The sequence below is a fragment of the Homo sapiens genome, chromosome 12, assembly GCF_000001405.40.
Source record: "Homo sapiens chromosome 12, GRCh38.p14 Primary Assembly".
Lineage (NCBI taxonomy): Eukaryota > Metazoa > Chordata > Mammalia > Primates > Hominidae > Homo > Homo sapiens.
The window spans coordinates 16,438,579-16,456,075 of record NC_000012.12 but is presented as its reverse complement, the minus strand read 5'-3'; the positions used below and the strand labels follow the sequence as shown (position 1 = coordinate 16,456,075).

Here is a 17,497-nt window from a genome sequence, read left to right as displayed (position 1 = left end):
ACATGTACCTATATTTGACATAGAAAGTGAACACTTGCTCAAATATATCAAGGCAATTGCATATATATTTTAGCATCCAACAATTTTAACAAAAATATTTTTGCATTTAATAGTTCAATATGACTCTTCCTATACACACACGTACACACATACCCCTAAGTAATTCTTGCATCATCTACTTTGTTTCAATAACTTACTATTGAAAATTTTATGGTTATACACTATTAACAATATGCTTCACATTTGAAACTTTTTGAAACAGATGATTGCAAAACATAAACTTTAGGAATAAGGAATTTTTTCTTGGGTTTCATGGCCATTATAAATGTAACTTTCTTGTACAGATTTCTGAAATTCAACACGTGATGAACCATAGCAATAGATGATGAAGTATTTCTCACAAAAAGTTGCCTTGTCTATCCATGCTCAGGCATAGATTATTTTTCACTTGATGAGGCTTCTTGATTCTGCTGTTTCTTTTCATTCTTTAGCATCATCTACTTTATCCTCTGAAGACTCCCCTGTGCTATTCTGCATCTCCATGGACCCAATCCTTAATAAAACATAACTTAAAACTTTATCCAACATTTATTAAATACCTGCCAAGTGCTGTGCTAGGTGAAAAAAAAAAGTGAACTAAATTCCTTCTTATAACATTTCTTCTTCCTTGGTGAAATCAGTGGTTAAGAGTGATTGCTCCTAATAATCCAGTGGGCCCCTTACTGTGTGGCTTCTAAACCTCATTTTCTTCATTTAAAAATGGAGATCAAAATAGTACTCATATCATAAATTTGTTGAGAGAATTTAATGCAGTGTTGCCTACAAACTATTTAGAACAGCCTGAAACATAGCAAGTGCTCAATTAATGTTGGCTATTATTTTTCAAACCGGTAGGTAGACTATTATGAAACTAGGCATATTTGATAGACTTACATCCTATCATTGTCCTCAAAATTCTATTTAAAATGCTTTCCACTGTCAATTCCAAAGTTTTCATTTTTACACATATTTGTTAATTATTTAATGCAGATTAGGTACTAATGATACAAAATGAGTAAGATTTGTTTCCAGTACAAAATTTAGTTCAATAGCCTCTCTTCCTTCACTTTCTTCTTAATGTGAGATATCTGACACTGTCCTGCCCTGGTTCTCCTCAAATCTTCCCATCTCCTTTTTTTTTTTTTTTTTTTTTTTTTTTTTTTTGGTCTACTTAAACTTACTGATGATTTTTTTACATTAATTACAGGTTTCATTGACAGTTCAGTTTTGATGCCTTGAATTTTCCCTTTATCCACCCCTACCCAAGGAACATTTCTACTCACATGCTTGACATATTTTCCAGTAGAAATATTATGCCTAAAATGATTCATCTCTGACTTCTTCTTCCTCTACATTTCTACAGGTTATTCTGTGACGTCAGAAATGAAATATGTGAAACAGCTTGTCATAGTTGAAAGGAAAAAAGACTTTCTGGTCAAATAAACCAATCTGAATCCTAGCTATGTAACTTATTATCGGGTGACTTTGGTAGATTTATTTAACATCTTTCTCTTCTTCCTCATCTTTAAAATGGGAATAATGAGATCTACCCTCTAAGATTTCAATAAAGATAAATTGAAATAGTATAAGTAGAGTATTTTGCACAATGCCCTCATTATTTAATCATCACTAGAAGGAGGAGAAATAGAGATTAAATTCTTATTTTTTAATAATTTAACATATTTGTTCTTGAGAAGCATCCAGAGTTTTCCCCATAAAGTATGTGAAATATGTAGTCCAAACCTTAAAATCTTATTTAACAAAGTAATTTGCCTACCAGGAAAAAATAGTTCCTAAATGAAATCATTTGTACAAGTATTCTATTATCAGTAAGTTGAAACCTAGGTGGTGGGAAGCGTATTGTGTTTGAACTTAGCAATCTGAATCCCAGTCCTAGCTCTGCCACTGGCTGTGTGATCAGCTGGTAAGTCACCTGATTCCTCTGGGCCGGGGCATTCCCATTTGAAAGTCGTATAGGTTTCTAAAGTTCCTACCAACTCTAACTTTCTATGTTAAACATCCCTTTTCTTTCACAGTTAACCTTATGTCTTGTGTTGAATTTTGTCTCCCCAAAATCTACATGTTGAAGTCCTAACTCTCATGTCAGAAGGTGGTCTTATTTGGAAATATGGCTTGTTGCAGATATAGTATTAAGATGAGGTCATTGTGGAGTAGCATGGATCCCTGATTCACTATGACTGATGTCCTTATAAGGAGGGAATTTGTAGATAGACACGCACATGGGGAAAATGCCAGGCGAAGATGAAGGCAGAGATGAGGGTAAGCTTCTACAAGTCAAGCAACATTAAAGATTGTTGGCAAACCACTAGCAGCCAGGGGATAGGCATGGAACAGACACTTCCTCACTGTCCTCAGAAGAAACCAGTTCTGTCAACACCTTGATCCCGACATTTATCTTCCAGAACTTTCAGAGTTTCTGTTAAGCTAACAATTTTATAATACTTTGTTACAGCAGCCCTAAGAAACTGATATACCTTATTTCATAATTAACTAAAAATTGCTGAGCTGTCTTTATTATATAAATGTATGTAGATATTTATGTATTTGTTTGTATGTATATATAAATAATGTAAAAAACACTACCAGAATATTCATTTGATTGACTTGTTGTTTTAAGTAGGCTGCTGATTGAAATATGAAACAATCAAACATGGAATCCAATTACTGAACATTAGAGTCTCGAATCGAGAATAAATGTTAAGGAAAAGCTTCAGAATTTAACAGCTTTTTATATCAGGAAGGTCCTAAACATATTTCCTTCTCTTTGAAGTCTAAAAGGACGTTGCTATCTCCACATTGCCTCTCTCAGTTTTTAACAACTCCCTAAATGGGTTTACTGAGCTCATAGGAAAAGTCAAAGTTTTCCCCATCAGTGTTCTTGGTTCATGTCACACTGGCTTGTTGCCTCTGTGGAATTTTGTTTTTCTTATAAGACTACTTTTCTCATTTGCTTTGCATTTCTTTTAGTGTTTTCCTTCATGAGGATGTGAATCCTGTTAAATTAAGATTGGGAACACTTTAATCAAATTTAAGAAAATATATGTTGGCCAATGCCTGAAAAACAACCTGGCATGTATCTTTTTATCCTAAAGAAAGACCATGATTGATAATTTAGGCACATCTTTTTATAAAACCTTCCTCTAAAAACCACTAGGACTGCTATTAGTTTAAAAGATCCCAGTTTAAGGCCAGAACATTTTAATGCCCTGTAATTCACTGAAACGTAGTCGTGGATGCTTCTGTTTGGAAAATATCTTCAGAATATTTTTTAAAACATTTTTTAGTTTAAATAAGTTTACCATAATAATTAAAAACATCACTCCTAAAGTTAAACTAGACTGGGTATCTTGACTAATACTGCCAAACTTGCCAGGTTGTTGTGAGGATTGATGGGATAAATACTGTCAGATACTTAACACAGTACTTGGAACATAGTTTCGAGTATCTCAATACAAGTATCTTAAATAGTTTTGAGCTGCTCAATAAAGTTCTCTGTTGTATTCTTTAGTAGTAATAATATTGCGAGCTTTGAGTTCTTATCAGCAATGGAAAATTTCAGTTTGGTGGATAGGGTGATCATGATGACAACCAAACAGTTTCCATTTTTTTTTTTTTGGCCACTTCCTATAGACACAATCTAATTTGAGCCTCTGAATACAAGGAAGTGAATTTGAGAGCATCCACTAGTATATGATGTGGCAATCTTGCTATCTACAAAAACATAGGGTTCTCTTAGGACAAGACCAATATATGACACAGGGATGTTATAGGAAATAAAGATATCAGCCATAATCAGTTCCTTCTAATTGGCTATCTTATAGAAAGACAAAGTAAAGACTTTGCAACTCTCTACAGTTCTCAGGATTTTATACACTGCCCACGTTTAGTTCCTCTGTCAGACCTGCCATTTTATGTGTAATATAATACTGCTTAGGGTTATCAATCTTTAAAAAAGTATACCATTGCTTTATAGCCACTCCTGCTTTGCAATACAAATGGCATAATTACTTGCTCTGGCTGGAGGGGGTCCAGTTCCTCAAGTTCATTTTTTAAATGCAAATCTTATTAAGTATTTTATCCTAAAATGGCTAATGCAAAAAGGGCAGTCCTACACTAAGATGGAAAACATGCCTAAAACATAAATACTAGGCAAATAATGAAACCTGTATTAAATCAGGGTACTGGAAAACCAAATTGATTACTTATTGAAATATGTTAACATGGTGTAATGGGTAACTGCCAAAGTCAGATATGCAATAATATTACATGAATCATTGTCACATAACCACAAAGATTTATAAGAGCAATAAGAACTTATAAAACCTTTTCCACCAAAGTTTAGATGCTCTTAAAAAAATATAGATAGTGATCTGTATATCATATAGTTTAAAGACCTTTTTTGTTTTTTACAGGTTTTCTTTTTTAAAAAATTCATATAACTGTTGTCAACTAGAATAATGGGCAGTTTTTCTATAAAATCTTTCAAGAAACTTTTAAGAATGCTAAATGCATTGCCTCTACTCAATTTATTTTAATATTTCAGCTATGGAACAAAGTTTTTTTGAGAATTCCTTTTATTTTGAAATATGTAATGCATAAAAAGTGTATTTTGTATATCTTTGCGTGTGTATAATATTGTATGTGGACAGTTTAAAGGATAGTAAAAATAAACCCCCCTATGCATACCACTGTTTTAGCCTCATGGGACCTAGTTTTTGTCTTTGGAGCTATCTAAGTGAAACAATACCTATTCGGAGATTGCTTTAGTCTTGAATCTATACTGAAAATAAATTGTTTGATTGCTTTAAGATGCAAGTTTCTAGAATGTATCCACCACCTATAGTTAAAAGAAAAATTGTTTCAAAGTCCAATTCAAACAATTTACAATGTAATTTTGAAAACTGAAATGATACTTATACATCTGTTGACTGCTTACAAATTACAGAGCATTTCAGTTATTGTTATTTTCCAGGTTACTTATAATCCTAAAAGAGAAAATTCCTAAACAGTATTTATTAATTTCACAGCATTTAAATAACAGTAAGGAAAAGCTGAAGCAGAAAACCAATTCAAATTCAGATAATTGTACTAACTTTGAGCTGTAGATTTGGTCCTTTATGTCTCAGTTTCCGTGTGTGACACACACACACACACACACACACACACACACACACACGGAATATATATATTTGAAAACCATCCTAACCGCCTCCTACATTCACAAGATATTTGAATATTTTGTCTTCCTGATCAAACAGAGCTCAAGAAAGGGGGAAAAGCCCATTCACTCATGCTGGGAAGAAAGTGACTTCATTAGCACATCATAGGGGTGCCCCTTTGAAAGTGTGTTAAATTGTGTTAACAGTTTGGTTAAGAGGTGGGAGTGTGACTGGTTTAACTTGTCTCATTAATACACTAGTGCGATTCTGAGTTGGATTTTGCAAGCCTGTTACAGTATTTTCTCACTCCTCTCCCTAGAATTCCTTACACTTTCTACCTCTCAGCTTCTGACTGTTATCAAGGCTCTGCTCTTGAGTGATTTCTAGCCCTAGGACTCTTCCTTTGTTTCAGTCATCAAGAACAATTAGTGGCTCATTTTCCCAAGGAACAGCCATTTCATTGTATTTTGTTGTTTCAGCAGCCCTTTGTCTTCCTCTTGAAGGAGAAATGAACCACCATGCTTTCCAGAGAGGCAGGCACTCAGGGAAACATATTGCTTTATGTGATGAGAGATGTAGAAGGAGGCCCAAGTGACTGGACACAGACACCCTAAGGGTTATCCGTGCAACCAATAATTAAGTTCTTAGCAGCTGATTACTTTCTGTTGCTTAGATGCAAAGCAAACAGAAGTGTCATACACAGGATAAAAGCCAAAGAGCTGAGTACATGTAAACCTCTTTTGGAAGATTTATTACATGTCACAGTGTGGCTATAACTTATTCTCATCTGTCCCTCTTGGCACTTACCAACAGTGATGAAAATGGAGAGTCTTTACTCAGGGAACTCTTGACTGCATTACTGTTAAATTATTTGCATATTGGTAGCACAGAGGGATCCTAGGATGGCAGTTTTCCAAGTTTCATTACCCTAACCCTCACCACTCAATAAAAGTTCCCACAATTCCAATGAGGTGGAGAGAAAACTGCAGAGCTATTTGCCTTTTGAGTATTCTCACTGTTAACTAATGAAGAACGAAGGTGAATGGCACTAAATGGGAGAATGGAAGAATGGGGGGATAGATGGATGAGTGGAAGGACTCACTTGTTTATTAATGGAGCTAATTATATGGTTCTTTTGGGGCAAAATTTGAATAAATGAGTAGGATTTTATCACAAAGCCACAGGGCCCCCTATTGGCATCACAATATAGTTGATCTTGCTTATTGCCATTCTGTTTTGATGAACAATGACATGGAGCATTTATTATGTCACAGACAGGCAGATGGCCATGGATTTTTCTTCGTCCAATTGTACACCTTTCACTAACTATGAAACATATCCACCTGGACATGTATTACTGTATACTCACCTTAACAACTGATATGGTTTGAGTGGGGGTCCTGTCTTAAATGTTGAAGTGTAATGCCCAGTGTTGGAGGTGGGGCCTGGCGGGAAGTGTTTGGGTTTTGGGGCAGATCCTTCATGAATGATTTAGCACCATCCTCTTGGTGATGAGTGGGTTTACTCGAGATCAGATTGCTTAAAAGTGTATGGCACCTCTCTACTCTTGCTCTTGCTCTGCTCTTGCTATGTGATACACTGACCTCCCGTTTACCTTCTGCCATGATTGTAAGTCCCCTGAGACCCTCACGAGAAGCAAATACTGACAACAAGCTTCCTGTACAGCCTGCAGAACTGTGGGCCAATTAAGCCTCTTTTCTTTATAGATTGTCTAGCCTCAGGTATTTCTTAATGGCAATGCAAAAGAATGGCCTAATATAACAACTAAAGTTACATAGAGTTCAACGTAAGACTGCATAGCATCATTATTCTTCCTGTTTCACTAGGATTAAAATTACCAACATTTTTATGGACTATTCTTGTCATTGTTAGCTCAGCTTTTAAACATCTAACCTTCCCCCTCTCTTCTTATAAATGATATCTCTTAAAGTACATATATGCCTTTCAGACCAACTGGGATAATGTTTCCTACTTCACTCTTTCATGTGGAATCTCCCAGCCTCCTCTTTCATTAACACAGTCATGCATTGCATTTGCAGGATAAGGATAGCTTGGGGTGGAGTTGGAGAGAAATAAAGGTCCTCCAAAATCCTCTGCTTCACAAAACCATCCCAATTTAAACAATTGCTATAATTATGTAAATAAGAATAGAGTCAGCCAACATGTGTTTGAAATCATCAATCTGATTATTTTTATTCATCTATAACACAGACTTTAAATTTTAAAAGTGTGTTTATGGAGAAATGTCACCTCCAGACAAGTCTTCTGAATTTGCTTTCAACCATATTTTTGCCCCAAATCTCCATCACTATGAAAATTCTGGAACCATTACTGTTTTTCTTCCACCTTGATATTTTTTGAATTGATAATCTCGTGTGCATCATAGCAGCAAAGTCTTAAGCCTGCCCTTGCTTAGCTGATGACTGAATTAACCCTATCCTCCAGATCTATACTGCTTTATGTTTTAAGTAGTTAGGCTGAAACCCAACACTTTTAGTCTTTCAAAAATTCTTCCTCATTGAACCCTAATTCTTGACTCACCCACAAATCCATACAATCTCTTCTTTGTTAATTATATAAATTATAGGAGAAATTCAGTAAGTATTTGTTAATTTGAAGGACAATAATGTTTAAATAAAATATTTATGTTTCTTCTTTCTGTCTTTTCTTAATTGTCGTACTCATTGTCCTTTCAATATTGCTCTTTTCTCATTTTAAAATTTAAAATGTTTAACATTTTTCTCTCTTTGGCCTTTTTATAAGCTTCATTGGATATCTCGACAACCTGTACAGTGTCTTTCAACTACTACCATACATAGATGACTCCCAATGCCTACTCAGTGTATTCATCAGAACATACAAGATGTCCAGATGCATCTCAAATGCAATGAATTTATTTATTCAGCAATCATTGATTGAGACCTCCAGCTCCAACCCTGATGCAGTTACCAGCTTTGAAATTAAGTTCTTACCATAAGCAACTAGAAAATCTGGAAAAATATATAAAGGAACTCTTTGTAGGCTTTAGACAGCAACTGAGGCCTACAGCCCATGAAAAAGGGGAGGCCCATGGGTGAGCACCATAATCTTCCACCAGGACCTTGAATATCTGAGCTGTGCAAGTGCCAGGAGAGCCTCCAGGATGCCTGGCTGAAAGTGGCTGCTGGGAAAGTGTATAGAATGTTTAACTATGTCAAATCTATTATGCCAAGCTTGGGGCCCTTGCTAGGAATCCCTGGTATCCCGACATATGAGATCAGTCAGATGCACCTATTCACCCAAAGATTTGGGTTCCCCAAAGTTTTCTAAATCCTTAGATCCTGCAGAGATAGTGCATCCTTCCTTTTTCACAGCTACCCTTCTTGCATATGAGAAAACACTGCAGAGTCCTCTCTCCCACAAGGCAACAGGGTCATCTTCAGGATTTTCCCTCATCTCATCTCCTAAATGCCAGGCCCAAACTTTGGGTTAAATTATATCAAAAGCAACTCAAGGTTATACCAGACCTGAGTGGTGAGGAAAGACACTATACCCCCAAAAGAGCTTCAATGATTAGCCAGCATATTTGGATAAATGACTGGTTTTAAGAGTTTTGATCAAGGAGGCAGGACATGAAACTAGATAAAGGAGAGTTTATTGATTTAGAGCCATCCTCTCAGGATATAAGGCCATGGGATTTAACACTTGACAAGGACTGCAGGGAAAGGCATAAATTTTCTGCTATGGCATCTCTTAGAAGTCTGGAGAAAGTGACGGTCCATGCTGAGTAAAGTTGCATTACTTGAGTTGCTATGGCAGACTGTGGAGAAAGGAATAGAGAGGCTTAGGGAAATAGGCATGCTGCAAAGACTATATGATGTGAGGACAGAAGACCCACAGAGGATTATATTGTTCCATGGGAAGGCCTAGAGGAAGTACCATTTAAGAAGGCCATCAGGAGTGTACAAGGGAGAGGGACACCAGAATCAACAAGAAGTTCAGTGGTGGCTCTGTTCCCCAAGCATTTAAGAAGGCCATCAGGAGTGTACAAGGGAGATGGATACCAGAATCAACAAGAAGTTCAGTGGTGGCTCTCTTCCCCAAGCCACCACTTGGGGCTTGACAGGAGGGGATGTCACAGAGTGGATGATAGGAGGGGCTGTCACAGAGATTTTGTTTGCCACAGAACAAATGGAATCAATAAAGGCTAAGTGGCAGCATTTAACCATCAGGGGCCTGGGAGTCTCAATTAACACAGGACTGGTAAGGTTGGAGTGGTAAGGAGGGAGGCATAACTTTCTGGGAGTTGTGGAGATGGTTAATAGAATACAGCATCTCTAAATACAAATAAATGAACAGCCAAAACATATCTCTTAAATTATATAACCAAAAAAAATGCAGGAATGACTCCTCAAGAGGCTGAAGATGGCGACCTTGATTTAAAAAAGTCATGGTCATTTCTCCATTTCCTGGACCTGAGTGAGGTTTCAGACCTACAACCTGTTAAGTGAAAAGATGACTATGTCCCAAGAAGAAAAGACTGCACCTGGACAAACACATATTGAAATAATTTCCTTAGTCACTCTGCAACTGCACCTCTAGCTATTTGTTTGGATAATTCTACACTGGGCAAAGCAGAATATCCAGATATTGCTATTGGTCATTTGGACATGGGCACTAATTCGATAGTGATATTTGGAGACCCAAAATGTCAAAGTTAGAGTGGAGTCACCCAGAGGGAGTATAAAGCAAACGGTGCTCTGGTCAGACTGGATTAAGTGGTTCCACTAGGTCCACAAAACCATACTTTGGTGATTTTCCCAAATCCCAAATGTGTAATTGGTTTTGACATACATGCCAATTAGAGTAACTTTCACATTATTACCTTGGCCTGTGGAGGTAAAAGTTATAATCTCAGGAAAGACCAAGTAGAAAGATCTGAAACTAATACCCATGCCAAGTTAGTAAATTGAAGCTAATGTTATACTTCTAAGGATATGAAGGATATTAGTGTCGTCCTTAAAGATTTCAGGTTTGGTGTATCCTGCCATAAGTAGTCCTTGCCCAAACTAGATAGATTCTGGAGGAATAACTTCAGGTTACCACAAATTCAAACAACTAGTAGCCCTGATTATAGCTGCCACGTGACTGTAACAGCTCTGTGAGAACAGAATAAAATGACCTCAGGTACCTGGCATGCAGGCATTGATATAGCGAATGAATTCTTCACTATCTTAATCAAGAAAGAGGACCAAAATAGTTTTCATTTACATGGAATGGACAACATACATTTACACTTTTGCCCAAGGGCCATGTTAACTCTCCTACTTTTTCTCATAAAGAGATCTGGATTTTACATAGAACATCACATTGATCAGTTGCATTAATGACATCATATAATCCTTAGAATGCAAAGTGAACAAGAGATGGCTAGCATGCTGGAGGATTTGGTAAAGCACATGAGACCTGGAGGGTAGAAGATAAATTATATCTTCAAGGGTCTATCAACTCAGCAGTGTCTAGTGCCTAACATAAGGGATACGCCAGTACAATCTCACCAAAGCAAAAGGCTAATTGCTATATCTCACACCCCCTGCCACAAAGAAGGAATTACAATCCCTACTAGCCTTTTGGATTCTAGAGACAAAACACATTCCACACCTAAGAACATTGCTCTGGCCTAATATAGTATGTGACTTAGTGAGCTGATCTCGGATGGGGCCTAGAGCAGAAAAGGGCTAGACAGCAAGCCCAGGATGCTGTACAAAAAATCCCTGCGGTTTTCTACTCAAAATCAAGCAGACTTTATGAATGTGGCGGTTTCAGCAGTGTTAAAAAAATACAGTATGGATTTTATGACAAGTCTCAGTGGGAAAATCACAATTCAAGTCACTTGGGAAAGCCATGCCATGTACACAAAACAAAGCAAAACACTATATGCCCTTAGAAAAACAGCTTCTCATATGCCACTTGGACCCATGCCTTAACCATGAGTCTGTCTGAAACTGTCCACGAGCTCACTTCTGTTAGACCCATCAAGTCATAAAGTCAGGTGGGCCCTGCAGCAATCCATGATAAATTGGGATTATGTGCCCTAAGCAGGAACAAAAAGCATAAGTAAATTGCATGAGCAGGTTGTCCAGAACCAAGTGTCACTCACCACTGTTGTACCAGCACTCCCCCTTCAGCTTATGCCTATGGCCATGTGAAACATTCTATATAACCAGCTGAAGGAGGGAGAAAAAGTCCAAGCTTGGTTTATGGATGGACTGACTTTGTATGTGAGGATAAGCTGAAAATGATGGTGTCTGTATTGAAGTCACATGTAGGAGTTACTTTGAAAGATACTGTTGAGACAAAAGAAATCTTCCCAATAGCTGAAGCTTTTTGAGGTGCTTATGTCTATGCACATTTTGGCAAAGGAAAAAGTATTGTGAGTTGAGGATACATAATGAATTCATGAGCAGTGGCAAATGGCTTGGGCAGCTGATCAAGGGACAATGAAAGTGGATTGGAAGATCAGAGACAAAGTAGTCTGGAGTAAAGGCATGTGTGTGGATATATAAGATTTTGTATAAAGTATAAAGAGCTTTATAACTTAATACCCACAGAAGCCTCCAGCCATGGAAGGTGCACTAAAAATCCAAGTAGACAAAAAAAAAAAAAAAAAAAACCAAATCAGCCAATAGACCTGTCAGCCTTTGTCATCATCCACTTCAGTGTTGGTCCAAGCAAACAAGGATTGATCAGAGTGGCAGATATTGAGACTATGAGCTCAACATCATGGAATACTACTCACTAAGGCTAATCTGGCTACGCTATCTGACTGATCGATCAGCCAGCGACAACACAGATAAAAATTATAGCTCTGTTTCTCAGGGAGATTACAACAATTTAGTGGCAAGTTGACAACTTTTGGATCCTCCTATCTTAAAAGGGCAGTGACAGTTTTCTTGTTATGGATTTGAATTCTGCCTGCAGAGCTTCAGTCAGTACCATTGTCTGTGGGTTTATAGAGTCTCTAATTCACAGGTATAATGATTAAAATAATCCAAGATGGAAGAATAGAGACCAAGAGAAATAAAGTACCCTGGAATGGACAAATATATGGATACATATGAGACTGTTGGCCAATTAGAGCCACAATAGTAACATTTTGGGAGTTATTTTCTTCCATTACAATTAAATGCATGAAATAATAGTAAAATGGACAACAAACAAAATGATGATATTTAATGGAGTACAACTAGTAGAAACAGCATTGTTTATGATGTTGTAAAAATACTAATTTAATGTATACTGTAATAAGTTAAGAATTTCAAGAGTAACCACAAAACAATGATACTAAAAGTTATAACAAAAAAAGAGCTAATAGAGGAGATAAAATAAAGAACAAAAATATTTTACTAATACAACAGAGCAGGAAAAAAAGATTAAGGAATAATGAGCAGATGGGATGATGAAAAAACAAAAAGCGAGATTTTAGACTTATACCTAACTATGTCGTAATTACATTACATGTAAACTGACTAAACATTCCTACTAAAACACAAGATTTAGATATATTTTAAAAGGTCAAATTATATGTTATTTTCAAAAAACATACTTTAAACATAAATATAAGGTAATCTGAAAATAACTGAAAAAAATCATTCCAAGTAAATACTTAGCATAAGAAAGATACTATTGCTGAATTAATATTGGACATAATTGCATCGAAAGTAAGAAGTAGCACAAGAAAGAGACATGTCATAGAGATAAAAGGGTCATAAACAAGAATATATATAACCCTAAACTTGTATGGCTCTAGTAATATAGTTTCAGAATATATAAAGCAAGAGTTAACAAAACTAATAAAGACAGGCATATATGCAGTTACAATTGGACGTTTTAACACACTTTTCTCAGTAACAGTGTATAAGCAGGTAAAAAATCAGTAAGTATATAAAAGATTAGAACAATATGACACATCAAATTGATTTAATTGATGTATATAAAACACTATAATATTTTAACCCAATTGTCCCAATAACTGATAAAAACAAGCAGACCAAGAAAAAAAAAGTCAATAAGGCAGACCCATAATAGCCAACACAGCATGGAAAGAGAAGAACAAAGTCAGAGGACTGACACTACCCTACTTCAAGACTTATTATAAAGCTACAATAATCAAGACATTGTGGTATTGGTAAAAGAATAGACAAGTAGATCAATGGAACAGAATAAAGAGTGCAGATCCCAGCTGATCTTTAACAAAAGAGCAAAGGCAATACATAGAGAAAATAAAGTCTTTTCGACACAAAGTTCTGGAACAAATAGACATCCGCATGCAAAAAATAAATAAAAACAAAGACCTTAAATCCTTCACAAAAAAGTAACTGAAAATGGGTCACAGATGTAAATGTAAACCACAAAGCTGTAAACCTCCTAGAAGATAAAATAGGAGAAAATCTAGATGACCTTGGGTATCGTGATGACATTTTAGATACATCACCAAAGGCACGATTCATGAAAGAAATAATTGATAAGCTAGACTTCATTAAAATTAAAACTTCTGCTCTATGAAAGTAGGAGTCAAGAGAATGAAAAGACAAGCCACACTCTGTGAGAAAATATTTGCAAAAGATACATCTAGTAACATACTCTTTTACGAAAGATACAAAGAAAACTTAAAGCTCAACAATGAGAAAATGAACAACCCTATTTAAAAATGGGCAAAAGATCGGAACAGACAACTTACCAAGGAGAAAAGAGAGATGGAAAATAACTATATGAAAAGACGCTCCATATTATGTGTTATCTGAGAAATGCAAACTTCAAAAACAATGAAATACCACCACACACGTATTAGAATGCCCAAAATCCAGAATACTGACAGCACCAAATGCTGCTGGGGATGTGGAGCATTGCTGACGGAGATGCAAAATGGTACAGCCACTTTGCAAGACAGTTTGGCAGCTTCCAACAAAGCTAAAAACACCCTTATGATATGATCCTGCAATCCCTCTCCCAAAGCACTTGAAAATTTATGTCTACACAAAAACTTGCATATGGATGTGTTTAAAGCAGGGTTATTCACAATTGCCAGAACTTGGAATCAACCAAAATGTTCTTCAGTAGGTGAACAGATAAATGAACTGTGATGATACACCAAGACAATGGAGTATTATTCAGCACTAAAAAGAAATGAGCTATTCAAGCCATGAAAAGACACGGAGGACACTAAAATGCATACTACTAAGTGAAAGAAGCTGATTTGAAAAGGCTACATACTGTGCGATTTCAACTATATAACATCCTGGAAAAACAAAATGATGGAGACAGTAAAAAGTCAATGATCGCTAGCAACAGGAGAGGCAGATATGAATAGGCAGAGCACAGAGGATTTTTTAAATGGCAAAACTATTCTTTACAATACCATAATAGTGGATAGATATCATAACACATTTATCAAAACCCATGGACTATACACCATCAAGAGTGAATCCCAATGTAAACTATGGACTTTGGGTGATAAGGACCTGTCATTGTAGATTCATAGTTTGTAACAAATGTATCGTTCTGGTGTAGGATGTTGATAGCAGAGGAGGTTATGCCTGGGTGGGAGTAGGGTGTATGTGGGAAATCTCTTTATCTTCCACTTAATTTTGCCATGAATCTAAAACTGCTCTAAAAAATAAAGTAAATTTTAAACAAGAAAGAAAGGCAATCTGTACCTGAGAAAAGATGTATGTGTAGTTTATACAGGTGTCAAAGGAATTGTATCCAAATATATAGATTTCCAACAAATCAGTAGGAAAAAAATAAGAAGTATGTAAAAGAATTAAAGAGGTGGTTTACCAAAGATAATATCCAAATAGCTAATAATGACTAATTTACTAACATTATTATTTATTAAAGAAAAGCAAATTCAATCTATAGTGAGATACTATTATATAACCACCAGAATGGCTAAAAATAATGGCAGACAATAGCAATTTTTGGCAATGATCTGGAGAAACTAGAACTCTCATATTTAGCTTTTGAGTACATAAATGGGCACAGCCACTTTCAGTAAATAAAAACCAATTCTATAACTCAACAATCCAATGCTTAGGTGTACACTTAAGAAAAAATAATATAAAGTCCACAAACAATAATAGGTACAAAACTATTGGTAGTAATTTATTCCTAATAATTGAAAACTGAATAGCTTTTGTGCTCATGAAGAAGAGAATGGATAAATAAATTATGGCATAGTTGTGCAATGGAATTCCACACCAGAATGCAAAAGAATGAACTACTGATACATGTAACAGCATATATAAATCTCAAAAACATTATGTTGAGTTAGACAAAAAACAGTAAATGCTATCTGACTCCATTTATAGAGTCCACATGGAGTTCAGGACCAGCAAAACTAATCTAATTCATTCCATGAAAATCAAAAAAGAAGTTACCTCTAGTGGCAGGGAGAAGGTATTGGCTAGAAAGGAGCATGAGGAAACCTCTAAGAAGTTGGAATTATTGAGTGGCTGTCACATGGAGTATCCAAATATAAAAATTATTAAACTCTATACCCAAGGTTTATACGCTTTACTGTGTATGTGTGTGTGTGTGTGTGTGTGTGTACACACACATTTCTTAATATAACATGAAAAATACACATGCATACAAGCAATCATTTATTCATCACTTACAATGTGTTCACCATTGTATCTGAACTTCTACTCTATTTAAATTAGGAATTACAAAGATGAATAAATATCCTAACCCCCAGTCTGTTGGTTGAGTTGAGAAGACAGCTATTTAACCAGGAAAGTTAGAACATCACACCATAAATGCACCTCCAGAGTCATTTTAATGTTGCTGTGGAAATATCCAGGATGAGAACAACTACATTTTCTGGGAGCTGATAGAAAAGGCTTTGCTGAAGAGCCAATTTTGAGCTTTGATGTTAAAATGAAACAGGAGAGTGCTGGAGAGGGAGTTAAGTGGAGGTGGGGTAGGACTTGATATTCCAGATAGATGAAATAATATATAAAAAGGTGAGATTCAGAAAATATGAGTAAGGTTTCTAATTGTTGATTTAATTAATGAAGCAGGTTATGGCCAGATTACAAAGGGCTAAATAATTTAACAGTAATGATTCCTAGGTCCATGTTGGAAAATTGTGGGTATACCTAAATCAGCTTGGAGAGTTCTTTAAAACACATAAGTTACTCCAGAAGTTTTCATGCACCTTCTACCCCTCCACCTTGAGAAATATTACCATAAGGAGCCACTATAAGTGACAGGAGTATATCAGGCACCACCAGTGTTTGGGGACAGAAAGATTGACAATCAATGCTCTAGGGCAAGGCTATGGTGAATCAAGAAAGAACAGCTGAAGACCTCATCAAAGGTAAAGGTAGAATTTTCAAGCAATCTTTGAATTAAACATAATTAGAGTCTGACTGGAAGTTCAAGATAAAGCCACTACTCCAAACATAGAAGACATTTTCCTGGCACATTTTTTTCTGGGTTTCCATCTTCTTACCACATTGGAATAGATACTTTCCAAAATACCTATTCTTAATAAAACAATATTACATTAATTATAAGTGCAATGAGAATCTTTCTAAAAGTGTACATTTTTAATGTTGCCCATGTCATACTTTATATCCAATAAATGCAACTCTAAAATAGTCCTCTGGTTTTGTGACAGGGTTCTATGCAATCATAGCAGAATATAGATAGTTTTCTATCTGGCTTTTTTTTTTTTACATGTCTTACTTTTCCCATACAATTTATATTACACTAAGAAGTTGGAGATTCTTCACCTTTCATCTATAAAATATTCTGTGTTGTCAGACTCTTTGAGCTATACATTTGACAGGCTTTCATGTTCCATCTTTCCCATTAAAAATCTGCACCACGAATAAATACTGCCCCCAGTAGTTAGTTAAAATAGTATCCTGCCACCTTTCACCCCCTTTGCTCACAAAGTAATCTAAACCTAGCACATTAAGGGAGAGATCAAAGTGATGTTGCTGTTTTATGTACAGTAGGTGCAGCCAGCTCATTTGTGAGTTACCACTCTCTAGGGCAAAGATAAGACATGCAAACAGTTAGTTGTGGCCTTTCACCCACAAAAATCGAGTTTATAGTGAAATATGTGTGATGCACAAAAGAGATAAATAGGAAGAAATCAACATAAAGAAGGAAACGAAGCAGAAACTAGACAAGATTTAAACATTTTCTATCTATTAGAATGTCACAGATTTTATAAGGAAGAATTACAACAGAATTTAAATATC

The 17,497-nt window shown here is 35.9% G+C and overlaps 1 protein-coding gene across 1 annotated transcript in view, besides 2 other annotated features; it reads right to left on the bottom strand.

Moving 5' to 3' along the window:
- Positions 1-17,497, bottom strand: part of MGST1 (microsomal glutathione S-transferase 1) — a 246,217-nt gene that overhangs the window by 137,256 nt on the left and 91,464 nt on the right. The window lies entirely within an intron of this gene.
- Positions 4,971-5,543: an enhancer, noted in NCBI's record as "OCT4-NANOG hESC enhancer chr12:16603467-16604039 (GRCh37/hg19 assembly coordinates)". NCBI's record gives its function as "activates a minimal SCP1, AML or CMV promoter by ChIP-STARR-seq in naive H9 embryonic stem cells {active_cell/tissue: H9 hESC(naive)}" and the evidence as "EXISTENCE:reporter gene assay evidence [ECO:0000049][PMID:30033119]".
- Positions 5,544-6,118: an enhancer, noted in NCBI's record as "OCT4-NANOG hESC enhancer chr12:16602892-16603466 (GRCh37/hg19 assembly coordinates)". NCBI's record gives its function as "activates a minimal SCP1, AML or CMV promoter by ChIP-STARR-seq in primed H9 embryonic stem cells {active_cell/tissue: H9 hESC(primed)}" and the evidence as "EXISTENCE:reporter gene assay evidence [ECO:0000049][PMID:30033119]".